General features: G+C 48.7%; 1 protein-coding gene across 1 annotated transcript, besides 2 other annotated features; it reads left to right on the top strand.

The window, feature by feature from the left end:
* Positions 2,312-3,511: an enhancer, noted in NCBI's record as "CDK7 strongly-dependent group 2 enhancer chr12:52835896-52837095 (GRCh37/hg19 assembly coordinates)". NCBI's record gives its function as "activates an origin of replication core promoter dependent on BRD2, BRD4, P300/CBP, MED14 and CDK7 cofactors, with strong dependence on CDK7, by STARR-seq in HCT116 cells {active_cell/tissue: HCT116}" and the evidence as "EXISTENCE:reporter gene assay evidence [ECO:0000049][PMID:35650434]".
* Positions 7,895-8,397: an enhancer, noted in NCBI's record as "H3K4me1 hESC enhancer chr12:52831010-52831512 (GRCh37/hg19 assembly coordinates)". NCBI's record gives its function as "activates a minimal SCP1, AML or CMV promoter by ChIP-STARR-seq in naive H9 embryonic stem cells {active_cell/tissue: H9 hESC(naive)}" and the evidence as "EXISTENCE:reporter gene assay evidence [ECO:0000049][PMID:30033119]".
* KRT75 (keratin 75) lies at positions 11,252-21,553 on the top strand. Its single transcript, NM_004693.3, has 9 exons — positions 11,252-11,816; positions 12,371-12,585; positions 13,557-13,617; positions 13,985-14,080; positions 14,918-15,082; positions 16,880-17,005; positions 17,147-17,367; positions 18,772-18,806; positions 20,868-21,553. The coding sequence occupies exons 1-9, from the start codon at positions 11,319-11,321 to the stop codon at positions 21,104-21,106; spliced, it is 1,656 nt and encodes a 551-aa protein (NP_004684.2). The 5' UTR covers positions 11,252-11,318; the 3' UTR covers positions 21,107-21,553.

Here is a 26,382-nt window from a genome sequence, read left to right as displayed (position 1 = left end):
AAAACAGTGACTTTGACTGTCTGTACATTATACCTCAACAACCCTTAGAAAAAGTGAAGTTGTAAAAAAAGATAAAATAAATTCATAAAATTTCTTTATAAAATTAGAGAGTTTGTTTTGAGGTGCTGCTGGCAAAGATGACATGGTCCATGAGACAACATGGTCCACGCTGACAGACGACACTCAGATCAACATGGGGACTGAGCACAGCGGCTCATGACTGTAATCCCAACACTTTGGGAGGCCAAGGCAGGAATCACTTGAGCTTAGGAGTGTGACACCAGCCTGGGCAACATAGCCAGACCCTGTCTGTACAAAAAAACTAAAAAATTAGTTGGGCATGGTGGTGCACACCTGTAGTTTTAGCTACTTAGGAAGCCGAAGCAGGAGGATCACTTGAGCCAAGGTGTCTGAAGTGGCAGTGAGTTATGATTGCAACACTGCACTCCAGCCTGGATGATGAAGGTTAAGGGAGTTCCTCATTTGATGATAGGATGCAAAAACAAAACAAAACAAAACAAAAAACCATGCACATTTTAACTGTAAACTTTCATGATAATTTTGACAAGCAAAAATTGATGGTTGGACGTTCATTCAAATTGACCAGATATCAACATCAGGGTTGTAATTTTCACTTTTAGACGGAAACAGACTCTCTATCTTTTAGGCCATGTTTACACAAGCTTATTCTAGAAACTGGCTAATCAGGTCTTATCCGTGAGCAGAAGAATACAAAGTGAAAGAAAATTCCTGAAGAACAACAATAACTCTTTCAGTTATGGTCATATTTTGCCCATTTGATGCCACAGCAGAGACTCTTTCCCATGCGTCACTACTGTAGTTGAGGTCTGGCCTTCTTCCCATGGTTGTCTGTGGGTGAGCAAACGTCTTGCCACTGAGTAGGTCATTAGCAGAAGCTTTGGAGCGGGAGGAGACTTTGGGGAATTAGTGACCCCCTCCCTTTCTATCATTGCAGTCTAGAGTTTGAAGTCAAAGGCATGGTGGAAGCAGAGCGTAGGAACTGCCACGTTGTTCAAGTCCCAAAAGCTGTTAGGACAACTTCCCAGTGTGCCAGGCAAAGTCATTCTCCCCCCTCAGGTAAAAAGCTCGAGGACAGCAGGCTACTGGCAGGGTCCCTCACTACCCTCAAGTGAAATCCAGATGCTTACCCTCTCTGAGAGGCCAGCTAGATGCCAGCTGGCTTGAGACTTGGAGCAGGCATCCCAGTCTCCTGTGAATAGGGTTGTCCAGACAAAATAGAGGAAGCCCAGTTAAATTTGTTGTGTTTTTTTTTTAGACATAGTCTCATTCTGTCACCCAAGCTAGAGTAGAGTAGTGCAATCATGGCTCCCTGCTGACTGGACTTCGCAGGCTGAAGTGATCCTCTTGCCTCAGCCTCTTGAGTACCTGTGACCACAGGCATGCACCACCATGCCTAGATAATTTCTTCTTTTTTGTAATTTTTGTAGAGTTAGGGTCTCACTATTTGTCCAGGCTGGTTTCAAACTCCTGGGCTCAAGTGATCCTTCCACCTCAACCTCCCAAAGTGCTGGAATTATAGGCATGAACCACTGCACTGAAACCTCAGTTAAAGTTGAACTACAGATAAACAACAAAAATTCATACGTCCTAGTATCCGTGCCTTTCATGTGTTTCTACAGTTTCTCAGGATTCATCCTGTGGGAGGAAGATAACAGCCCCAGCTGGTTCGCCATCTTGCCAGGACAAAATACTAATAGTGATTAATTCTGAGGAGTATGAATTTGGGTAATTGCTATTTTCATTTTCATACTTTTCTGCTACATAAAGATCAACATCCTACTTTTTCCACCATTGAAATGCCATTTTTATTACATGCTGAATTCATACACTTTATCTTCTGTGTCATTGATCTCTTTGTCTGATCACACCACTGTGATTACTAGATCTTTATATTACATGCTGCTTTCTCTATTACTTTAGGGTCAGTCTCTGGTGCCTTATTTTGTCCATTTGGTGAGGTCTTTTCCATGAACATCCTCGATGCTCAAGGATGTGCAATGATGTCTGAACCTGCAGAGAGATTTTGGACTGTGGTTGGGTGCAGAATATCTTGTGGGGGGATATGAACAGGTTACCTTGTATTCTGCCATCTTGGTGACATTCACTCTGTTATTTACATGTTGGTTTCTTATACAGCAAGTCCTACTCATTGTTTGTCTTCAATGTTTTCTGGTTATTCTTGTGCATTTTGTTGTGTTGTTATTGTTGTTGTTGTTGTTAGGTATCCCTAGGCATCTCAGAGTTTTTGTGTTATGAGTTAGAACTCCTTTCTCCTTTCTCTCCATCACGTTTTCTAATTACTGAAAGGTAATGCATGAAAATGATTGATTTCTGTACCTTGGTCTTGTACCCAACTGCCTTGCTAAACTTTATCTTCATTTTAAAGATGAGGAAACCAAGCCTCAGAAAAGTTAACTAACTTGGTGGGTAAGAGGCAGAGCCAGGATCCAAGGAACAACCTGCCTCATCTTAGGAACTCTGCTCTTCTGCATTGCTAGGGAGGTGTGGTCTTACTCAGGGAATCTGACTCCATCAGCTCCCACTCTGGCCCCAGGAGGGAGGGAGAGTGCTGCCAGCATGAACAAGATGAGACTGACCGCATTCCCCACCACTCCAGTCTTTCCTTGCTTTGCTTGCCCTCTAGTGAAGGAGCTACTGCTCTGGGTGCTAACAGCAGACACCAGAGCTGGCTCCTCGCCTAAACTAGGCATCTACTGGACGGTGACATCAGCCAGTGCAATGCTCGCCCTTTAGCCTGGAAATTCCAGCCCACATTGGGAAAAAGAGGAATGCCTGCTTTTCCCCCAAGGTGGCTCAGCCGACTGTTCTCTCCTCCCCCAGCTCTGGACTCCCTCCAATCTTTGCTTTTGTCTTTCCTTACCCTGGGAGCCTATGCTAGTCTCTGAAGCTTTATTTCCCCTACTTTGACTTCTTGTTCATTCCTCGGTGATGAGAAAGTGATGAGTGAACTGTGACTGTCTTTAGCCTGTGTTACCTATGCCTTGGAAAATGTCTTCAAAAGTTCATTATTTGTTCAGAGGTGCCCTATATCACTCAGCAACCCCGCAAAGTCACTCAGCAATACAGTTTAAGATTACCTGTGGCATAGCAGGGTCCTGAATACTTCAGAACAAATTAAAAGAGGGTAGGTACATTATTAGATGCATGTTGAATTCAACTGAATTATGTGCTTACCTTTGAAAAATCCCTCTCACCTGGCAGAGCCAGAAATATACCCATGAACACGTAAGCACACTCCACATAAACCAAGAGGCAAGGGCAATGGATGCAAAGAATGAAGGAACATGAACAATGGCAGGTCCAACTTCAGAGGGGCTCTGTGGGCATGTCCCTTCCGGGGGAAATTTTGAAAGGTGCAGGGAAACCCTATTTCCATCCTAAATCTGTAAAATACCATGATGCCTAAAGAGCATTATCAGGGTAGAGAGTATAGGTGCTTATCTTAAAGATTTTTTTTAAACTTCCATTTATTGCAGAATCACACCCCCTAAATCATTCCAGGAAGAATCTACAGAAATCTCTACAACTTCCCTTAGAAGCATATTTTTCTGTTCACCATTAGAACATAGAAGTCCTCAATGGAATCCTTCTTGCCAATTAAGTTTACTCCCTGATGGTAAGAGCAGCAACGACAAAGGAAGACATTGGTCTCCCGTCATAGCTCCTTCCCCCTTTGTTCCCACCTCTGTTTCCCAATTCATTGGTCATTTTCATTAGTCTCTGGGCTCACCCCAGGTTGACTAACTCTTGCTTAATAAACCAGTGCTGAGGGGTGAATGAAAAGCACTTTCAGGCATTTCCTTTAAAGGGAATTCCTCTCCCTCACGGCCAGATGGGAGAACAGCCGGAATATCCACAGGTAGGATCATGCAGAGGTCATCCTGGCGTCTGCCTGTGGGCCTTCTAAGCCATTTTACCCTTTTCTGGGAAGGGAGGAAAGTGGCGTCCTGGCTGCTCGGATGTAACCTGCATCACAGACACAGCCCTGGTCTGTTCAGTGGAAACTATCTTACTCATGACATGCCGGTCATATATCTGGTTTTACACTCTGGAAACCCTCCTCCAAGAGACATGCCAATCAATTGCACTTTGAACACACACAAAGAGAGCTGGCTGATTAGAAGAGCCCTCTGCTGAGTCTTCCTTCAAAGAGATTAATTCTTTGTCAAGAATGAGTCATGGGCCCTAATTTTTCATTCCCCTGCGTCGGGGCTTTCAAATATCTACACCTCTTAAAGCAGAGCAGGAAGAGGTTTCTGTTCTCCATTTACACTGAGTCAGTCACTCCTAGCATAATGGCTCTCCTGACCTCATTGTCATTGTCACCATCCTCATCATCAGTGTGTGCTGATTTAGTGCTTACAGGTCAGCTGGGAGCCATGCACCTCAGAATGAGGCAAGAATTCCTAGGCCAAGACTGGGTGCCAAAGGGACCTGTCCTCTCAAGATCATGGAAAACACAGCTCCATGGCTACAGAAGTTCTCATTCACGGAAACACACAAGCAAACAATGCATCACCCGGATGCCTCATGTCAGACACAGCTTTACAGAGACAAGGCAGGAATGCATTCAGTGATCCCATCTGAAGTGTCTGTGGGTGGATCCACTCTGATTTATCCCTGGGAAATGTTTAGACCCAACCAGCTACCTCAGCCTCACCTCCTGTGCTTAGCGCTGCTTCCCGCCATGCTACTGTGTGTGCCCGAGATGGGGCATCTGGAGCCAGCAGGAGAGCAAGGATCCTCTGAAGCCCTCAAGGCCCATCCAGAGACTGCATCACTCACAGTCTGAATTTCATTGTTTTTTTTTATTTTTGAGACAGGGTTTCACTCTATCACCCAGGACGGAGTGCAGTAGCACAATCACAACTCACTGCAGCTTCAACCTCCCAGGGCTCAAGCCATCCTCCCACTTCAGCCTCCTGTGTAGCTGGGACTACAGGCGCACACCACCATGCCCAGCTAATTTTTGTATTTTTTGTAGAGATGGGGTTTTGCCATGTTGCCCAGGTTGGTCTCAAACTCCCGGGCTCAATCGATCTGCCCACCTCGGCCTCCCAAAGTGCCAGAATTACAAGCGTGAGCCATTGTGCCCGGCGTATATTTTTAAATTCTGTTATATACCATTTTACATGATGTCTGCTTCACATGTGTCGGTTCTATCTTCCCCACAGCCCAAGCCCCTAGTGGGCGGAACTCATGGAGAACACTTAACCATCTGCTCCAGCACACAGATCAGTGTGGCACGGGGCAAACACTGTTCTGGGGGACAGGAGACAACTGTCCTATTGCAGTTTTACTCTAAGGTTCCTCTCAGGCTCTGGGCCTCACACTCCTCATCCATGAAATATGGGATCTGTATGATGTGTGCTTTCTGAGCTCTTTTGGAGTTGCAGTGAACAGCAAAGGCCTGGCCACCAGGCTGCATGGCCACAGCCTGGCCACCAATGGGGTGATGGCCTCCCAGGTATCATGAGCTCCCCGTGCACACCCTGCACCTACCCCTAAAGTGACAACCTCTCTTAATGACTCACTTCCTTGTCACCATGCTGGGACTGTGCCTCCCTCACTGCTGTATCCCAGTGCTTCACGTGCCATAGGTCCCCAGCCAATACTTCTTGAAAGAATAAATGCTGAGCAAAGGCAGCTTGTTTGAAGGCTCAGGTCAGCTATGTCTCTCAGATGTAACTGGGAGAGGAAAGGGGGCTGGCAAGCAAGAAAGAGGGAAGACTTTTCAGAATGTCCAAGTTTTCAGTGTGCAAGAGACACTGAGGCAGTGCCAAGCCCAGCACGAGGGTGAGGCTGCCGCTTTCAGCTCGGACTTCCCATCAGGTGACAAACACCCCCAAGCCTCCACAGCAACCACCAGACCCTGTGACACTGGGGAGGTTTCAGCAGCATCCCGCGGCGTGCCAGGATCACCAGCCCCTGAGCCTGCACCCACAGGCTGGAACTCCATGCCAGTGTTCACCAGGCTGGTTTCTAGGTCCTGCGCTCCTCAGTTCAGAGAGGGCCTCTGGGTCCCTACCCCGAGGAAGAGCTGGAGCAGCATCCCATTTCTTCCCACTTTCCCTCCCTGCAGTTTCCCTGTGTGGCAGCTTCTCCCCAGCACAAGCCACAGAGAGACTTTGTGGAGGAAGCATCCTAACCCTGGGAACAAACGAGGCCATTAAAGTGGCTGAAGAAGCCAAACACAGTGGCTCACACTTGTAGTCCCAGTACTTTGGGAAGCCAAGGTAGGAGGATAGCTTGAGCCCGGGAGGTTGAGGCTGCAGTGAGCCGTAATTGTGCCACAGCACTCCAGACCCTGTCTCAAAAACAAGAACAAAAAGCAAAAAACAAACAAACAAAAAGGTTGGAGATGAATGGCCAAGATACACCTGGAATTCTTCAGTCTCCTGTCAGGGTGCCCTGGGAGGGCCCCTGAGAGGCTGGCATCTCACCAACACCCTCCTTCGAGGAGGGCCCCACCTGTGCCTCTCAGGCAACAGGGAGGTTTCTTGCTGTGCTCTCTAACATGGAGAAGCCTCAGGGCTAATGTGGGGCAGCAGAAGGGATCAGGAGTTCTGGCCCAGCTACCAAACAGCTGTGTGGCCTTCGACAGTTCTTCTCTCCTCTCTGACCCCAGTTTCCTCATCTCTAGGGCTCCTCCAGGCTTTAAAGACTAATTCTGCTCCTTCACTTCTGTATCCTGACACACCCAGGCAGCACCACACTCTTGCAGATTGCTGTTTTGTGAATGTTCTGAAGACATATGTGTCTGTGTGTCTACCTTGTACATGCACACCTGTTGGGTGTGTCTGAAGGGCTGGATTACGGAGGGACAGGACAGTTTCATCACACTTTCTTAAGCCTGAGTTTGAATAAAAACAGCACACCACTTTCCTGCTGAAATGGACTGAGAGGGGAGGTTGTCTGCCTACCTGCACAGGCTCTACGTCTGCCCATCAAATTTGGGCCCATGTGAAGTGGCTGTTGAGTTGGCAGTGGGCAGGAGCGGATCAGGTGAGTGTGGCCATTTGCAAGCAGATGTCCAAAGTCCTGCACCTTGGCAGTTTGTTCAGATCAGCTGGCACCTGTAGTGCCCTTTGGGGAGCAATTATTGCTTCTGACTACAGGCACAAAGGGGGCTGTAAGGTGGAAGATCTGAGGCAGGCTGGGCAGTGCCTATTAGACACACCAAACATTGAGGAAGTGCGGCCACCCCAGCACAAATAGTGAAGACGGCAAAGCATTTCTGGCCAGCATGTCTCAGGTGCCATCACAACAGAATTACCTTCTCCACACTCGGCCCCTGGAGTGTCCACAACAGAATTACCTTCTCCACACTCGGCCCCTGGAGTGTCCACAACAGAATTACCTTCTCCACACTCGGCCCCTGGAGTGTCCACAACAGAATTACCTTCTCCACACTCGGCCCCTGGGAGTGTCAGCTGGGAGACCCGGATTGTGTCTGCCCCTCCAAATCACCTCTGCTCCCCTCCTCTTTCCATATAAACTCCAGGAGGGAAGGGAGTTGTGGCTGCTTTCTTCACTGCTGTATCTCCTGTGCTAGAACAGCGAGTGCCTGGCATATTATAGATGCTAATAAATAGTTACTCACTAAAGCCAGGACTCCACAGAGAGTAGGAGAAGTCTGGGAAGTCTAGCAGTCGAGGAATCGGGGGCAGGTGGCTGTGGCCTAAGTCCTCAGATGCTGCGCCCAGGCCCCTGGTTCTATGATTCAGGCCAGCCTGCTCTAGGGAGGTAACCCCTGCTGCCCCATGGTCTTTAGCCCTGGTGGCCCCGCCCTGGCCCTGGCCTGGCTGGAAGCCAAAGCTCCCTGGGGCATTCCCCACTCCTCATCTGTGGAAGAGGCATCCCCCACCCACTTCCTCTCCTCCTCCACAGCCCTGATCGCCACCTGGCCCCATGTCCTGGGATCCACCACCTGCGAAGGACGTTAGTGTTCCTCCCAGGATAACAGAGATCACCCTGAGCAGGATGGGCGGAGAACAGGGAAATTGAAGAGTTTTCCTCTCCCAGCCTCACGCACCAGAGCACAAACCATGGCCCCTGAATCCAGCACTTCTCCAAACTCAAGAAAACTCCTCTCAGATAGACCCAATAACACAGAGATGGAGAGGGCTGCAGAAAGACTGGAGAACAGAAAGGAATGTGTAGTTCTTCTTTAAATTAGACAGCCTGAATCACACAGACTTCTGCCACAATTCTATCTGGGGTGGCTAGGAGGCTAGTCAGAGCTGGGAGGAAAACGCCCAACCCTCAGAAGTGGACCAACACTCGTACCACCAGAAAACGAAGACATCAAAGGGCATGCCAGACACAGGCATTCCAGGCAAACAGCGTTAAGGGGTAGTGCTGGGCCCAGTTCACCTTCGATGACTTCTTAGGGATAAGTTGTAAGCAGAATTACAAAGAGGTTAAAAACAAAACAAAAATGTCAGAAAGCGAAGAAGTTGTTAACAATCCTTGAGTTTTGAGATTTTTAAAAGGGTGGTGACACAAGTTGTCAGGGAAGCCAGGTGTCCCAGGCACTCTTCTAGATATTGACCACCAGGATAAAGGTCACTGTGCAGGTCAAAGGTCACAGAAGAGGGAGTGGAGGAGGAAGGGAGGTGAACGATCTTTCTATTTCAATCTAACTCGGCAAAGCCTGTGAGTAAGACCGTCTAGCTTCAGAAACAACAGTCCTGGAAAAACTAGAGGGGAAGGAGGAAAAGAATAAATGAGCAGCCCCAGGCAAGAGGTGATGGCTGAGAAAAACCAGAATGGAAACAGAATGAGATGAAGTGCCTGGGAAGAGGGCTCCAGCAGGGGACATGGGAAAGAAAGGAATGGCTGGGAGGGAAGGCAGCCTGGAGCCTGCTTCCCACGTGGGAAGCATGGTGAGAGAAGGCTGGGGACCTCCCTTCCCGTGGGCATGCTGGCCCAGCCACTCACCACGCCTGGACCCTCCAAGACCTTTGTTTTGTGGAAAGCTCTGCAAGCGTTTGCTCAGTATGGCTCAGGAAACAAGTGTCCTTTCTTCTGGGGGCCAGATTATCATGCAATGAAGAGTACAGAAAACAAACATAATTATTCTTTCCACTTGAGAACCATGCACCACCCTGGCTGGGGTTGGCAACGGAACCAGGTGAAGGAACTCCTCTGCTCTTCCTGGCCTGTATCAACACAAGCTATGATTCATATCTTTCCTGTGGAAACTGAGACTCCCAAATAATCTCTAGATGGGGGAGAGGCTTACCCCCGGGCCTCAGTCCCAAGGAGGAAACAGTTTAGAGAACAAAGAACTACCGCTCCAAGTGCCAAGCTGCCATTCCAGGCAGGTGAGAACATCTGCCAAATGGTCGGTTACCAGTGTGCCCCTAAAAGGACACCTGTGTGGAAAGACCATGGAATCTGGCTCTGCTTCTTGTGGGTCTGTCTGACTAGTTAACCATTCTGGGCTCAATGCCCTCATCCACGAAATGGAGACTGAATGCTGATTAATTCCTCTCTTACTCTCCCAGGCTTCAAAACCACAGCAAGAAGAAAGCAGGCAGCAAGATAAAAGAAGATTCAGGCCAGGCGCGGTGGCTTAAGCCCGTAATCTCAGTACTTTGGGAGGCCAAAGAGGATGGATGACTTGAGCTCAAGAGTTCAAGACTAGCCTGAGCAAAATGTCGACACCCAGTTTTTACAAAATAGTAAAAAAATTAGAGAGGCATGGTGGAGCATGCCTGTAGTCCCAGCTACTCAGGAAGCTGAGGTGGGATGATCACCTGAGCCCAGGAGGTGGCGGTTGCAGTGAGCCGAGATTGAGCTGCTGCACTCCAGCCTGGGTGACAGAGTGAGACCCTGTCTCAAGGCAGAAAAAAAAAGAAGATTCAGCAATGTTTTGGTTTGACTCTTCCCATGGTAGAGATGGGGCAATGAGTTGCAGAACAGAGAGATGAGGTGCCTTGAAGTCTTCTTTGCGGTTTGTAGACTAATATAGAATGTAGGGCACAGTCTACAAGGTTAACAGGAGAAACAGGGAAGGAACGAATCCTCTGCTAGGTGCAGCTGTTGGAGCTCTTTTGATGAAGGACTGGAGAGCTAGGAATTCTTGGTCCTCAGGAGGAGGAGGAAACTGCCTGGGAGACTTCTGGGATAGGCAGCCTCAAATGCAGCTTGGAGGTGATGATTCATGGTACACCATCTTGTACAGTTTTATCTTCCCAACAGGACCATGAGCTTGTTGAAGATAAATAATGTGCATTGTGTTTCTTTTGAATTCCCACAGGACTAGTCACAGGATGGACATGGTTGGCACTTCCTTAATATTACTTGATTGTATCAGAAAGAGGGGAGCCTCAATAGACATTTACTCAGCACTTACATATACCGGGCATTGCGAAAGTTTTCACATGTGAATATTCATTACAAACCCCATTTTACAGACATGAAAGTTGAGGCACAGAAAAGTTTCATGGCTTGCTCAAGGTCCCACAACTATGAGCAGGTCTGAGATTCAAACCCGAGTCTTTCTCCTCTCACAACCTCTCTTCCCAGGAGACAGAGCACTGGCTGGCCTTGAGAGTCACATTATATTGCAGTGGGCAGGGCACAGGCACACATACACTCCAGAAAACCATGTGTGACCTACACAATAGACACGGAAGCTTAAGAGCAGAATAAAGGGGCAATCAAAATGGGGTGGATTCCTAAGGAAGATGATTACAGAGCGCGACCTTCAAGGTTTGGAAAGACAGCTTGATGGGGCTTGGGGAACCAGGCAGTAGGTGCTGAGAAAATGCTTAGGGAATAGGAAGCACCCCAAGGAAACAGTGAAGTGTAGTGGCTTGTATTAACACAAGATGTTTGGACAGGACGGAGTTGGTCCCAGGCCTAAGAAAGCGGTTTAGAAATGAGGCAGTGTTTGCTGAGTCCTTTACAAGATGCATCATTAGCACATGACGGAAAGCAATTAACTTGCTTCTTACTCATATGCTGATCAAGTTGCAACTGGAAAGGAGTTTGCACGTTGTGGGGAGGGGGTGCCAGGGAACCAGCCAGTGGCCCTTACACCATTTCCCGAGGGATGCCGAGTGTGAGCTCAGGGTTGGCGGATGCCCAGGGAATGCCATCAGAAGGCCCTCTCCACTAGCAGTGCCCCGCCCCCACAGGATGCTCATAAAAGCCACGAGACCAGGGCTCTCCAGCCACCTGTCTTCTCCACTGCCTGTACCAGCCCACCTCAGGTGCCTTCTCGCCGGCCTTCCTCACCCACCATGTCTCGGCAGTCCTCCATCACCTTCCAGTCTGGCAGCCGCAGGGGCTTCAGCACCACCTCGGCCATCACCCCGGCAGCTGGCCGCTCCCGCTTCAGCTCTGTCTCTGTGGCCCGCTCTGCAGCAGGGAGTGGGGGCCTGGGAAGGATCAGCAGTGCTGGGGCCAGCTTTGGAAGCCGCAGCCTCTACAACCTGGGGGGTGCCAAGCGGGTCTCCATCAATGGGTGTGGCAGCAGCTGCCGAAGTGGCTTTGGTGGCAGGGCCAGCAACAGGTTTGGAGTCAACAGTGGATTTGGCTATGGGGGTGGAGTTGGAGGAGGCTTCAGTGGCCCCAGCTTCCCCGTGTGTCCCCCTGGAGGCATCCAAGAGGTCACTGTCAACCAGAGTCTCCTGACTCCTCTTCACCTGCAAATCGACCCCACCATCCAGCGGGTGCGGGCCGAGGAGCGCGAGCAGATCAAGACCCTCAACAATAAGTTCGCCTCCTTCATCGACAAGGTAAGCAGGGGCTTCATCCACCCCCTTGGGTTTGGGATCAAATAAACTCTTGGAAGGGCCATCCCATGGGGGGAGAGCAATAATGCAATGACCCCACTGTGGGAATGAGCACTGTTCAGCACGGGCTCCCAGGGGCTGAGACCCTTCCAAGTCAGGCCAGCTTGCCCCACAGGACCTGGTAGAAATTTCCTCTCTTTCGGAGCCACATGGGCTGGTTCAGTCAACACCAAGGGAAGAGTTTTGTTGATTCTCTACAGGAGAGTTGCTGCTCAGCAAACTACCCTAACCCAGAGTAGGTGGTGTTGAGAAACTTAACCCAAGAGCAGCTCCCCAACAGAAGCCTCTAGGCCCCACCACCCGAATCCTATGCAAGCCCTAGGGAACTTTGCGGTAGCTCCATGGACTGCCTCCTTTTGGGTTGGAGTTGTCAGTTACATTATTGTCAATGGGTGCCAAGTGAAAAAAATATCTTTTTCTTCTCTCCCTTATTAATAGGAGTGTCTAACTCTGCCTCTCCAACTTCTCAAGGTTTCATTCTCTCTTCTTCCCTCCAGGTGAGGTTCTTGGAGCAGCAGAACAAGGTCCTGGAGACCAAGTGGGCCCTCCTGCAGGAGCAGGGCTCCAGGACTGTGAGGCAGAACCTAGAGCCCCTCTTTGATTCCTATACCAGTGAGCTCCGACGGCAGCTGGAAAGCATCACCACCGAGAGGGGCAGGCTTGAAGCTGAACTGAGGAACATGCAGGATGTTGTGGAAGATTTCAAAGTCAGGTAAGTGGGAGACTGGCTTCTGGCCACACACAGCCATCTGAAGGCTCCTTTGTGTGAGGACCAGAGAGGTGCAAAGGAGCAAATGCCGATATCAGCCGGGAGCTTTGGAACTGCAGCCTTTATCCTGCAAGGTGGAGACAGCACTGTGTGGGGTAGCACAAGGACCTTCATCTTGTGTATTGCTATGAAGATCCTATTCCTATTTGTTCACATGACTGCAAAGGGATATCAACATCATCCGACAAAATATTGCTACTCACTCTAGAAATCATAATGTAATTTCACAGTCAGCATATTGTTTAATTCCATTGGACATGGGCTCAATTATTGAGATGGTTTGCATTTCCAGGATGGCATTCACTGTAGAGTGAAGAGAGGTAACAAGGAAGAGTTTAAAGGAGGGCAATCTGACTTTTCTTGTGGGGGGAAACTTTTGACTGCACATCATCCAGGCTGCAGTAGGTGAGGTATCCAGTGGAAAGGGATTTGGTCCAGACTAACCCATTAGCCAGCTTGCCCTTATTTCTAAGCTTGAGCTACCCCTAGTTACAAAAAGCATATTTCTCAGGGGCCACCCTGAGGTTCAGTGAAAATATATCAAAATCTACCCGAAACAGCCTGCTGAACAGATAAAGTTTACTCCACGATTTCGGTAGACACTTGAGGTGGAAAAACATTTTAGATTAGCATTGCATATCTATCAAAAGATGGAGTTGCATAAGTATATTTTTGTATTCCTTTAAGTTCCATGCTCACCTTCTACTCTTAGAAAAGTTTATTAAAAACTAGCAGAAGAAATTATCCCCCTTTTATGGAGGGAGAAATAGAGGTTAAATGAATCACCCAAAGTCATGCCCAGGTCAGCAGAAGAGCTGGAAATGATTTGAGGGCTCTTAACTCTTGCTACACCAGCCTGGAAAGAGTTCAATGCAGACTTGCTCAACAGCACACCCCCCGCTCTGTCCTTATAGGTACGAAGATGAAATTAACAAGCGCACAGCTGCTGAGAATGAATTTGTAGCCCTGAAAAAGGTGAGTGGGGATGTTTCTCTCAAAGGAGAAGGTTTAAAATGGAATCTGGAGTGTGGGGTAACCTGACCTCTGACCCTTGGGCCACCCAAGAAATGTCACATCAACCTTGAGAATATCTGCAGAGTTCAAACCTCCCAACATGTTCCCTCTACGTTGATGGCCCCATTAGCCCTACTTGGGTTTCTGTGAGCTCAGGGAATTCAAGCCCCCAGTTCTCCGTAATTACCCATCCCCAACCCCAAATCACCCAGACCCAGAGTTTTCTAAAATCCAAACTAGATGGGCTGGGGAGAAATCTGCTCAGCTTCTTTTGGACTAGATACTTGGGGCTGCAGACTCAAAGGAGCATCCTGCGCTGTCATTCCAGGACGTAGATGCTGCCTATATGAACAAGGTGGAGCTGGAAGCCAAGGTCAAATCTCTGCCCGAGGAGATCAACTTCATCCACTCAGTCTTTGATGCAGTAAGAGTCTGCAAGTATTTCTGTCTCTCCTAGGTCTGGAGCCTGGAAAGAAAAGGATGATGCATTGTGCCATTCATTCATTCAGTGCCTCTGCCCAGCATCTTGCTTGGATACTTCAAGCTGGGGCTTGGGTGGTAGGGGGACCAGGGAGAACCACTTGGAGCCTTGTCATACTAAACTACCCCAGCTCTGATGCTTCTCCCCCGAACTCCCTTATCCCATGGCAGGACAACATCTAACAAGGAGAGAGTACTGATTCCCAAATTCTAGGACACTGGGTAATTTCCCAAGGAATCAACACATACCTGCTCCCTTCCCCTTCCCTGAAAAGTATTAAAAAAAAAAAAAGGCAAGCTGTCCCTCAGCTCATTGGTCAGGGGGCTTCCTACCCTTTGAAGATGCCTCATTCTGGGCGCTACCCCTCCAAAGGCAGAGACCTGGGTCTGTGGAAAGGGAGAGAGAGGTAGAAAGTGATGGAGTCACACTGTGCAGGGGGAAGCAGTGTCCCAGATGTCCCCAATGCTCTTAAAGAAGCCGTTTATGTTGGCATACTGAACAGACACGTGTCACATTCAAATCTATGTAATTCCAATTCAGAGGATGCTTACCCACCCTCATGCCTGGGGAAAGCACACAGATGGGAGCCTTGAGAAGTAAGGCTGGGAAAGATTTTCACCACACTGATCTTTTGGGATGAATGGGAATACCTAGGGAATAGCTGGGAGAATCTGCCAGGAATACCAAGGAAAGGATTCCTGACCTAGATGGGTAGTTAACCACGAAGATTTAAGATTCTTCATCTTATGCCTTGGTGATGCTGAGTTTACTGCCCTGCAGGAGCTGTCCCAGTTGCAGACCCAGGTCGGTGACACATCCGTGGTGCTGTCCATGGACAACAACCGCAACCTGGACCTGGATAGTATCATCGCCGAGGTCAAAGCACAATACGAGGACATTGCCAACCGCAGCCGGGCCGAGGCTGAGTCCTGGTACCAGACCAAGGTGAGCATGGACACCTCCATGAGAGGTTCCAGGGTTAGTGTTCTCTGAGGCTCCACATTATCACTTAACTCAGCCTCAGGAAACGTGTGAGCACATTCGTTTATTTCAACTTAGCAGGCATGTCTTTGATGCTATGACAACTTAGCTTGAAATGCATGTGGAAACCGAACCAGACACACTAATACATGGTCAGCCCAATGCTGGGAGCTCAGGACATCCACTGGCCCCACATTCCTCAAGATCTGGGTGGGAGCAGGGTGAGACACCAGGACAACCGAGACACAGTCATGAAGCAGTTTCTAAAAGGCTTATTTATTCTCTATATATTTTCTGAGCTCCTGCTGTATGCCAATCAGGGTTACAGGGTTGCAAATAAATAAACTGCAAACAGAGAACCCAAGCTCTGGGAGGCCATGAAGTGAATGGACAATCATGGAAGGGAAAAGATAGCATGAATAAAAAGCTTCCAGGAAGACATGGGGGCTTTGTACAGTTGGGAAGCCATGAGGGACAAAAGATTGCTGAGGAGTGGGGAGAGGTTTAAGGCTGAACAAGGAGCTGGCAGGCAAGAACAAGCAAGGGAGTTTATGTCAGGAAGAGGAAGGCTGGGATAAACACAAACAGCTACTGCCCAGAGCTCAGACAGCCGCAAAGAAGTTTGGCTTTGCGGGGTACAATTGACCCATGATACCAGCTCCCTGTCAAATCCAGACCCCTCTTGGGGCAGCTTCTCACCTACGAGCAGGTTCCAACTCTTTCCCTGCTCCATACGTTGCCTCATCCCTTCTGGTCAGGAGTGTGGTGGAAAGGAAGGTGGGTAGCAGGGACCAGGGTTCCACAGGGCAGAGGCAGCGCCTTGACGGTGAAAGGAAACATGATGCACTTAACCCCAAGGTGAAGTGGTTGAAATCGATAGCAAACGATTCCTCATGTTGTTGGGTTGTTGCTCCATTTAATCATGTATACCTAGAAGCGGGAACCTGAGCTATTCAGCACTTTCAAGAACCCCACAGATCTTGACTCTGGCAGGGGATCTCCTTTTGTCAGGGAAAGGTGTAGGTTTCACTTCAGTCTGCTGGAGGAGACAGGGTGTAATTATTGCTCTTAAATTCACATGTCCTGGATATGCACCATTAGATTGAGAACTACCTGAGATTGGGAATACTTTTACAAAGTCTTCAAAATTGTGCCTTCCACAGCCTCTGCACCATCCCACACCATTCCCCCATATCTCCTCCCTGTTTCCCCAGCACTGGTGTTTGGAGGGCTACCAAAATTCATGGGCACAGTTGGTCTGGATGCACGCTCTGTGACCAGGAACTACCCAGGGACCTTGATCAAATCACCGTCTCACTCCTAGAACTCACCATGTTCCTTCCCTGACCCAGAGTCTTCATGCAGGCTGTTTCCTTTGTCTGGAATGTTCTCCCCCACAACTGGTCACTTAGGTCCCTCCTTCTCATCCTTCAGACCACAGTTCAAGCATCTCCATCTCTGGAGAGACTTCTCTGACCACCACTTCCCACTTCCAAATCTAGGTCAGATTCCTTCATTACACTCTCCCAGGACCCTGTTCATTTCCTAAGGGCACTTATCTTAGTGTGGAACTATACATTTGATAATATGCTAATTCAGTTAATGTCTATGTCCCCCAATAAACTGTAAGCTTCAGGGGGAATGAGTGAATGACCAGGAATGAATGAGCCTGCTTGTGGCACCCAGGGTGGGTCTGTGTGCACAGCGAGTGCCTGGGCCAGGCATTTGACTCAGTGACTGGGTTTGCTCTGGTTCTCTCAGTACGAGGAGCTGCAGGTCACCGCAGGCAGACATGGGGATGACCTTCGAAACACCAAACAAGAGATCTCTGAAATGAACCGCATGATCCAGAGGCTGAGAGCTGAGATTGACAGCGTCAAGAAGCAGGTAAAGATTTGGCAGGGCCAAGAGCTCCTCAAATGCTCATTTCTTCTGGGCCTTTCTGCCATCTTTAAGAACTCCTCCCCAAGAAGCACCACACCTCCATGGGCTGTCAGCAGGACTCATGGCTTCCTCCTGTCCTTACAGTGTTCCAGCTTGCAAACGGCCATTGCTGATGCAGAGCAGCGGGGAGAACTGGCTCTCAAGGATGCACGGGCCAAGCTGGTGGACCTTGAGGAGGCCCTGCAGAAGGCCAAGCAGGACATGGCTCGGCTCCTGCGTGAGTACCAGGAGCTGATGAACATCAAGCTGGCCCTGGACGTGGAGATCGCCACCTACCGCAAGCTGCTGGAAGGCGAGGAGTGCAGGTGAGGCAGATGCACCAACTTCATCCTCAAAGCAAGTTGAGCTCACCTCAGCTTCCTGGGCATTCCTAGGGGCTCGGGCTGTTGCAGCCCCTTCTTCTCCTGGAAGAAAATGCAGTTCAGAATTGGGCTATGGCAAAAAAATAATTTTAATTTCCTTCCAGGCTAGTAAATCATTTGAGGTGCAACTACAGTTAGCATCCCCATAGAAACCTAAAACCTGATCAGGTCTAAGTAACTGAATTCTACCAAAGGAGACATTTGGTTACATGGCAGCTCTCGAAATGTGGTCTAAAAGGCCATGGGCTGAGAACAAACAGTCCTAGGATTTGGGCTTACAGATCTAACACTAAGTAGCTACATAACCTTGGGAAAGTCAGTCTCCCTTCTCTGGCCCTCAATTTCTTCAATGATAAAATGAAAAGGTCAGATTACATGATCCGCAAAGCTTCATGGGAGCTTTGTGCTCTGCCAGTTAGGAGCTGTGTAGCCAAGAGCAGATACTTAACCTCTCCACCTCTCAGTGTTCTCATCCAATAAAATGTGAATAACAATAGTTCTAAACTCTCACATTATTAAAAGGGTTAAAATAAGGGAATACACACAAAGCTCTTAGAACAATGCATGGTACACAGCGTGTTCGATAAATGTTAGCTATCATTCAGTTTCATGGCCAAAGACATAGGCTTTGGTGTCAGATGAATCTGTCTTCAAGTCCAGCTTTGCGACTATGGGCAAGTTAGTTAACTTGTCTGAGCTTCCATTTCTCCCTCTATAAAAGTGAGCAAATAATACCTACCTCATGGGGTTGTTGAGAGAACTAAGTGGTGTGATATAAGTAACAGGTAATCAACAGCTGTTACCTCTTGTTAAGTTTCTCAGTATGTGTTTATGAATGAATGCCAGTTCTGTCCTGAAGATGCTAAAGCAAAGTTACTTGGTTGCTAAGATAATAATAAACTGATATTACTATTGTTATTTTTATGACTCAGACGCCTCTCCACACCTATATACAATAAGCTCAGCCCTGGCTCAGTGCATGACAATGGTCCCTTGTTGAGAGACAAATCTTATTATAGGACAGGCCCTTCTTTCCAGTTGATGCCAGTATATGATTACTTTTAATTTCCTTAAGGCATCTAACTAGTTTAAACCAAAAATTGTATTTCTGAGATTATAGATTTTGCTCCTGTGAACCTCAAACTCCACCTTATTTTATTCATTAGATTATTAATATTATCTTTAATACTACTAGTTCTCAAATAATTTCAACCTGCATTACTTCTGCAATAAAAATAATAAAGTATGTTTAAATGCTTTGTCAACAATTACAAAAGTGTCATTGCAAAGGCCCTTAAGCTGCTGGCCACATTGGTAACCTTCCTTCTCCCTGCTCTTCCCAATCAGGTTGAGTGGAGAGGGAGTTTCTCCAGTTAACATTTGTGAGTATGACATACTTCTTGGGCCATTTGGAGTGTGTGTGGTAGAGGGGATGGGGATGTGGTGGGCTTGCCAGAGGGTGAAGATATGACGGGTTAGACGGGATCTCACAGACAGCGTTCATTTGGAGAAGGTTTGAGGTTTTGGGTCCCTTAAAAAGCAAGCCATATTAGGAGTCTTTAATGTCACAGTTCTTTCCTCTTTGAGAGTGAGGGTGTCACAGAAGGGGTGATGAGAGGTTTGATGTCATTGTTCTGAGTGGGTTTAAAAGATCCTGGCCACATCTCCTACCTCCCAGAATTCCCTGCCTTTTTGTTGGGGCTGCAAGCCTAGCACAGAGGTGAGCACTTGATGTAGACGGGATTTATGAAAATTCCTGGTCTGGCTTGGACCTTTGAAGGGAGCCTTCATGCTGTGGACAAGAGCATTGCCAACTAGGCAGCTTCTCTCCTAAACAGTTTGAGAAGAAGCTCCACTGCTTGGCTCAACTCTGCCGAGTATAACTGCAGAAGGATGCCAAGGGTTTTCAAGGCAGTAAGGGCAGCATAAAATATGGCAGTTGGCTACAGTAGCTCTAAAACAGGAGAGGTATTAACAAGCTGGCATGGCCCTGTGCTGGTGAGAGAAGAAGTGGTCATTCGCAGAGCTCAGTGCTGGCATCACAAGGGCAACAGAAATGACTCTTACAACTCACCCTCTACAAGTGAGTTTGAGTTTGGTTTTCTTGATGGGCATTCATAAGGGCAATTCATTATATTAGCCAATGATTCTAGAAGGCAGAGCCCTCTGAACCACCCAGGTGTCCTTCCTCCCTGATGTCTTTGTCTAGTGGTGCCAGAGACCCTCAAAGCTAATTTTGGGGACAGGCCTTCAAGCATAACCTTGAAGCTCCTTTTCTCTTGAAAACACCTAATTGTCTGTATTAGTTTTCCAGGGCTGTTGCAAAAAGTACCACCAGTCAGGTGGTTTAAAGCAACAGAAATGTCTTGTCTCACAGTTCCGGAGGCTGAAATTAAGGGTTAGCAGGGCCCTGGTCCCTCTGAAACTTGGAGCCTGGACCAGCCTCCTGCTCTGTATATCATGCAGGGTGGCACTATCCCCTCTCCAAACCAGATAGTGTTCTGGAACACGGAGGCAGCATGGGCAGCCCAGCCCCCCTCCAGCCTCCTCCTAGCTCTGGCGGTGGCCATCCATCCTCGGTGTTCCTTGGCTTGTGGCTGCATCCCTCCACTCTCTGTTTCTGTGATTGTATGACCGTGTCCCTGTGTGTCTGTGGCTTCAGATGAATGTCTTCCTTCTTTCTGTATGGACACCAGTCATGTTAGATCAGGGCCCACCCTACAGACTTTATCTTAACTTGGTTATACCTGCAACGATCCCATTTCCAAATAAGGTTGCATTCACGGATACTGGTGTTAACACTTCACCATAGGTTTTTGAAGGACACAATTCATCCTATAACGGAGTCTATTTTTTTAAAATTTGATTTTCCTTCGGCAGGACCCAAAGTAGGGTGCTAGAATGTGTAAGGGGATGAGTTATAAATTAGGAGAAGAATAGGTTGGGAGGAGAACGGGGGCAGAGTTCACTGGCCAACAGGTTAATCTGTCACTTGATCCATCAAGAATATTCCAGCCTCCACCCTGGGATTCTGAGTGTGGGGCTGGGAGACGCTGAGGGAAGAGGAGTGTGCCCCTCCCCCCATAAGCATCCAGAAGGAAGAGAAACTCTGGAGTCAGGCTCAGACAGGGAGACAGACCCAGACGGCACAGCAGGAGGATCAAAGGGAAAGCAGGTGGACTGGAGCTGCTTCCAGGAGGAGAGGGCTCCAGTAGGTTCTGGAAGGGGAGGAGGAAGCCATTCCAGCCTAAGAGGCTGCCTGGAGCTGCAGCTCAGGAACACAGGCAGTGATCTCACTAAGCAGGGGACATTGGAAGGAGGCAAACTGCTGGCTGACGAGACCACCCCCTCCCCACCCAAGGACTCCAGGGCACAGGCCCTCACACTCCCAGCTGTCTTCTCGCTTGCACTTGATCTGACCACACCTCCTCTCTTCCCGGCAGCTGTGGTCACCTCTACTCTTTCCAGTGGCTATGGAAGCGGCAGCAGCATTGGAGGTGGAAACCTGGGCCTCGGTGGGGGCAGCGGCTACTCCTTCACCACCAGTGGTGGGCATAGCCTGGGTGCAGGCCTGGGAGGTTCTGGATTCAGTGCCACCAGCAACCGGGGCTTAGGGGGCAGTGGTTCTAGCGTCAAGTTTGTCTCCACCACATCCTCCAGCCAGAAGAGCTACACGCACTAAGAGAGCCCCATGGCTCCCTCTACCCTGCCTTGAGGCCTGTTTGCAGTCACACCTGGACACCAGGGTCCTCCTCCTTCCTCTCTCCTTGTAAGGTGCACCTGTGCTGCTGGGAGCCTGGAGTACTGGCTATACCCATTCCCAGGCCTAAGCCAGCCTCTCCCTCCTGACAGTGCCCAGACTGCCAGCAGCACCCGTCTGTTACACATGTGAAACCAAAGCCTGCTCTCTCCTAAGGCTCTCATTCAGCCTATCTTGCGAGGCCCGGGCAGCTGGAAAGTCCTCCTCCAGCTCCACCTCCCTCCCTCCCTCCAGATGCAGAGGCTGGGGAGTCTCTCAATGCCAGGTTGTCACCCACCTGTCTCATAGTGTTTATAAGTGGCCTGCTGGGAGTGAGTGCTCCCTCTGTTCCCTCCCTGGAATGTGTCTATTAAATGCATGTGTCACCTGTTTGGTGTCTGGCCCTCTGTTTGGAATGGTGACTGACCCAAAGCAATTCTCCTCCTCTCCCAGGCCTGCTCCCAGCATGGGGATCACACAACCAGTGCTCAGAGGCATCAGCCCTTGCCCCTTCCCTCTGAGCTAAGAAAGCTGGCTGGGAGGAAGGGAGGGCGGGCTGCAGAGGTGCAGGGAGTGCAGGGCTGGCCAGACTTCCTTTTCCCTCTCCTTGGCATGCCTTGTTTGGGAAGCCGGAGCTGTTGGGAGAAGCCCAGACCGGCCTCCCTGCTCTGTTAGTGCCGTCCCCATTCCAAACCAGTGTTCCAGAATACTGACGCCGGGTGGGCGGCCCAGCAGAGGGGCTGATTTTTCCCTGACAGTTTCAAACTTGCAGACCCAGCAGAGAAATAACAGGCCACGAAGAGGAGTTAAAAGGCAGCCCTGGGAGCAACGCTTTCACCAAGGAGAGGAGCCATTTAGCCCATAATTGCAGGCAGCAGTGAGATATCCAGTAAGCTCCCACATTCCTGAGTTTACAGTCTCCTGGACCCCTCCCATCAGGCCTGAGCTGGGGCATAGCCCAGTGGGCTCACCCAGAGTGGGGCAGTCGATGTGGGCTTGGAGGGAGTGAGTTCAATGCTCAGGAACTGATGTGAGCTACTTGGGACAGGGTTCTAAAACACCCTTGTCCAGGGTGAAGGAGCAGGAAGTGAAGTCGGGGGAGAGGGAGGCCGTGAATCAGGAGGGAAGATGAGTGTAAAACCAGGGGCTAAAATTTGGAGTGGACGGGAGAGGGAGGACGGCAGGAAGGAGAGAAATGACACTGAGAACAATTGTGAAATCCCTGGTGTTGGGGTGAGGGCGAGTTCAGACCAAGAGAGGAGAGAAGTGGAGGGACAGGAATTTGCAGTGACATCCTCAGGCTTTCTCCACTGGCCAAGCTGGCTCTCATCTCTGAGCCTGATCTTCCCAACTGTGTGGGGTGCAATGATTCAGGGCATGGGACCAGGAGTCCGGGTTCTGACAATGGCCCCAGTGCTCACTAGCTATGTGACCTCAACAAAGGTGCCTAACTACACTGTGTCTCAATCGGCCTCCTTTGTCAAACAAGGATCTTAACGGCAACCCCTGTAGTGCTATTTCAGATTAAAGAAGATACATGGAAACCAGCTACCCATAGTGGCTGCTCAAAAGATATTCAAAATTGTCCTTATTTTTATCATCCACCCTCACAAAGTTATTATGAGAATTAAATGAAATCATGCTTGCGGCTGACCTGTCGTGTGGTGTGGCACAGACTGAATCTCCAATAAATGAATTTTTAGAAATCATAAGTGAACAGAATGGGAGGAGCATAATTTAGTGACTTTGGGTTCAGAGCCCAAGACCTGGGAATAGAGAAGGGAGTTCAGATGAGAGGCTACAGGAGTGTCCACAATGTGTGGCTGAAAGCCTGCGTGGGTAGGGGGCCCGGAAACCCCCAGGCCTGCTCCAAGTCTGCTCCAGACTCCAATCCCCAGATCTTGTCCTGGGGACTTTATTTAAGGGGAAAAATTGTGTGTATTTCCCAAGTCTGTCTTCCATGCTGAGGTGAGATAAGGGTTATTCAAGAAACCCAAACTGGCTGCACAAGACCACAAAGGACTCGAGAGAGCAGACAGAGGAAGGGGTGTGGGGGCTGGCCCTAGGCCACACAGCTCATGATGGACCTGGCTGGGGACATACCTGCGTCCTCACAATGCAACTCCAGTGTGACCCATTGCAGCATTCCCAGAGTATATGGACAACTGAGTCCAGATTCTAGGTCTAGAGAGATCATGTCAGAAAGAAAATGGACATATTAAACTTTCTGCCAAGGACCTCCTGCCCATTTAATGGAATTCAAAACTTCACCCAGTAATATGATGGTGGCGTGTTCTTTTCTTGAATTATCACACATGCACCTGGTTGGTGCCAGCCCCTCTGACTCTTCCTGCTTCTCCCCTCTCCAAACAAAACCATCTGTCCCCCAACCCCATTGCACCAACATCTGCTTGGCTCTCTATGTTCCAGGTTCCTTCCAGGCTGAGGAAGAGGAGGAAGAGCCTGCCACCTGGACTCTGAGATCCAGGTTGTGCAGAGGCTCCCTGCACTGTTAGGGATCCCATATCCCAGAGCCCTCTGGGAGGCTCCTGCATGGAAGCTCTCTCAGTCTCTTACCTCTGACTGGGGCAGGTGTGGTTTCTGGAACAGGAGAACAAAGTCCTGGAGACTAAATGGAGCTTCCTGCAAGGCCAAAAAACCACCAGGGCCAATTTTGAGCCCATGTTTGATGTCCACATCGACAACATGAAGCAGCAGCTGGACTGCCTGGGTGGAGGGTATGTGAAGTTGGATGTGGAGTTAAAGAACATCCAGGACATGGTAGGGGACTTCAAGAACAAGTGAGCAGACGCTCAGCCAGTGCCTGGGCCAGGGTCCTGCCCTGGGGCTCCAGGGGAGGTCAGAGGGGGCAGGAGAAACAGCCTCTGCTCTCCAGAAATGTCCAGTCTAGTGGGGAAACGGAACACACTTAGGGCACAGAGGTGGAATCAGAAGTAAACATAAAAGTGTCAAGAGAACTGGGACCCACCCTGTGGTCAAGAATGCTGAGGCTTTAGTGAAGGGCTGGGATTGTAGATGATGATACCTAACATAGGTACAAAAAGCATGATACACACAGCATTCTTCAAACTCTGCAGATAAGGAAAGTAAGGCTCTGAGATAGCATACCAAAGATGACACAAAGTGGCAACTCAGGAGTTAAGAATGAATCCCATAGAATCTCACTCTCACATGAATGCAACTAAATCTCACTGCTAATTTGCACAGTGTTCACATATTCACTCTAATCCAGGCAAAGAGGCTGGAGAACAAAAAAGAAAGGACACATTTGCTGCCTTCTCCCAGGACCACACACACACACACACACACACACACACACACACCACTAAACATAATGAGATGCTCAAATGCTCATGCCTGTAGATACAAATTTCTTGATTTTATTGTTTTTACTTATTTTTATTTCTTATTTTTCTGGTTCTAATTATTTTTAATTCTCTTGGTCTAACCAAAATTAGTAACTGGATCATGAGTTTTGGTTAACACTGTTTGTATACTCTAGCACAAGTTCAGGTTTTAGAGTTGTGCTGTCCAACATAGTAGCCAGGAGCCAGTGGCCACAGATGACTATTTAAGTTTAAATTAATTAAAATTAAATAAAATTTAAAATTCAGTTCCTCAGTCACACTTGCCACATTTCAGGTGTTCAATGGCCACACATGGCTAATGGATCCTGTAATGAACACAGATACAGAGCAATTCTGTTATCGTGGAAAGTTCTCCTGGATAGCACTATAGACTTCAGAGTCAGTGGATTTAGGATCTTGGCTCAACCACTTAATGGCTGAATGACCTTAAGAAAACTATTTAATCTCTCAAAGCCCCAGGTTCTTTATCTGTTAAAAGAGACATCAATAGTGCCCACCTCACAAGAGCATTGAGATTATTAAATCAAAACTTGCATGTAAGGTGCTTGGTAGGGTTCACAGTGCCTGGCACATAGTAAGTTGTTAATAAGTGTTAGCTATGTTTATTGTATTTATGATTAGGTATGTGTAGTGATACAGACGCAGACAAGAGAAGCAAGTGCAGATGGGTAATTTATAACATGTATGCAAGCGTGGACTAACAGTGTTTCAATACAAGAAGACTTCCTGGAGGAGAAGGCTAAAGCTTAGCATTGAAAAGGAAGAAGGCACAGGGGAGGGATATGGTAGGGCATCTGTTGAAGAGTGTGTTCCTAGTCAATGACCAGGCAGTGTTCCTGTGGCATCAAAGTGGCCTGTGCAGGGCCAGGCGATGCTTGCCCTTCAGCAGAGGGACTGTGAGCTGGGCCACATGGAAGACGAGGACAGTTGTATGGAGTTAGGTGAAGAAGAGACATTCAGAGTTCATTAAAAGGCAACTCAAAGAAACGATGAGGAAAACCAAATTGCTCTTCCCAGAGAACACTGAGAGAAAGCACAATACTGAAATTTCAATGGCAAGCAAGAGATTTTCTCAGATCCTATAGAGCAGCAGAGGAAATATAAAAGCCAGGAAGATCCTGCTTCATGTAAGTCATGTGTGATGGGACTCTGTGGTTTTAAAAGAATGACAACTTTCCATTACATAGTAGAGAAAGATCCTCTGAGAGGTCATATGGCTGATGGGCAGAGCAGCTGAGATCAAAACCACAGCTGTCTAGCACCACGAGGGTGGGGTGTGCTGATGCACCCAAGTAGGTTGGGTGGGGAATGGGTCACCTGGAACAGAAGCAAAACTTCCTTCCCAGAGATCAGTGAGCAGGAGGCACCTCCACATGCCCCTGGGGGACAGACAGGGTGGGGTTGCTGCCTACAGGTAAATTGAAGAATGAGAAACCTTTGGGGGAGAGGGTTCCTATGGTCCTGAAGTCTCTGCTCCTTAGGCCACAGTTCAGTGTGCCTGAACAGAGTGAGGGAAATGCGAGTGTTGTACAGTGAGGGGCTGCCGGCCTCTGACCTTTCTCCCTGTTCCTCTCCTCCCTGCCCTGGGTTGGGGCAAGACCATAAAAAAAAAAAAAAAAAAAAAAAGGAAATGTATATGCCCCTTTATGGGACCCAAATACTCCAAGGAGCTGAGCTGTGAGAAAAGAAACCTCAAGTAGACTGAGAGGGGATCTGTTTTGTTGTTTTGGGTTTGGGTTGTGTTTGGTGGTTTATTTGATTTGGGATTTGGGGCCATGTGTGTCATAGGAGAGCCAGGCTACAGTGGAGCATTTGCTAAGGCTGCTCTGC

The sequence above is a fragment of the Homo sapiens genome, chromosome 12, assembly GCF_000001405.40.
Source record: "Homo sapiens chromosome 12, GRCh38.p14 Primary Assembly".
Lineage (NCBI taxonomy): Eukaryota > Metazoa > Chordata > Mammalia > Primates > Hominidae > Homo > Homo sapiens.
Note: the sequence above shows the minus strand (reverse complement) of the source record. Positions and strands in the feature narration are given on the sequence as shown.

Excerpts from the sequence above, each read along its gene's own strand:
- KRT75 (NM_004693.3), top strand. The coding sequence starts at position 11,319 with ATGTCTCGGCAGTCCTCCATCACCTTCCAGTCTGGCAGCCGCAGGGGC. Across the intron at positions 12,586-13,556 it reads GTGGAAGATTTCAAAGTCAG|GTACGAAGATGAAATTAACA; the intron begins GTAAGTGGGAGA and ends CTGTCCTTATAG. Across the intron at positions 18,807-20,867 it reads AGTTTCTCCAGTTAACATTT|CTGTGGTCACCTCTACTCTT; the intron begins GTGAGTATGACA and ends TCTTCCCGGCAG.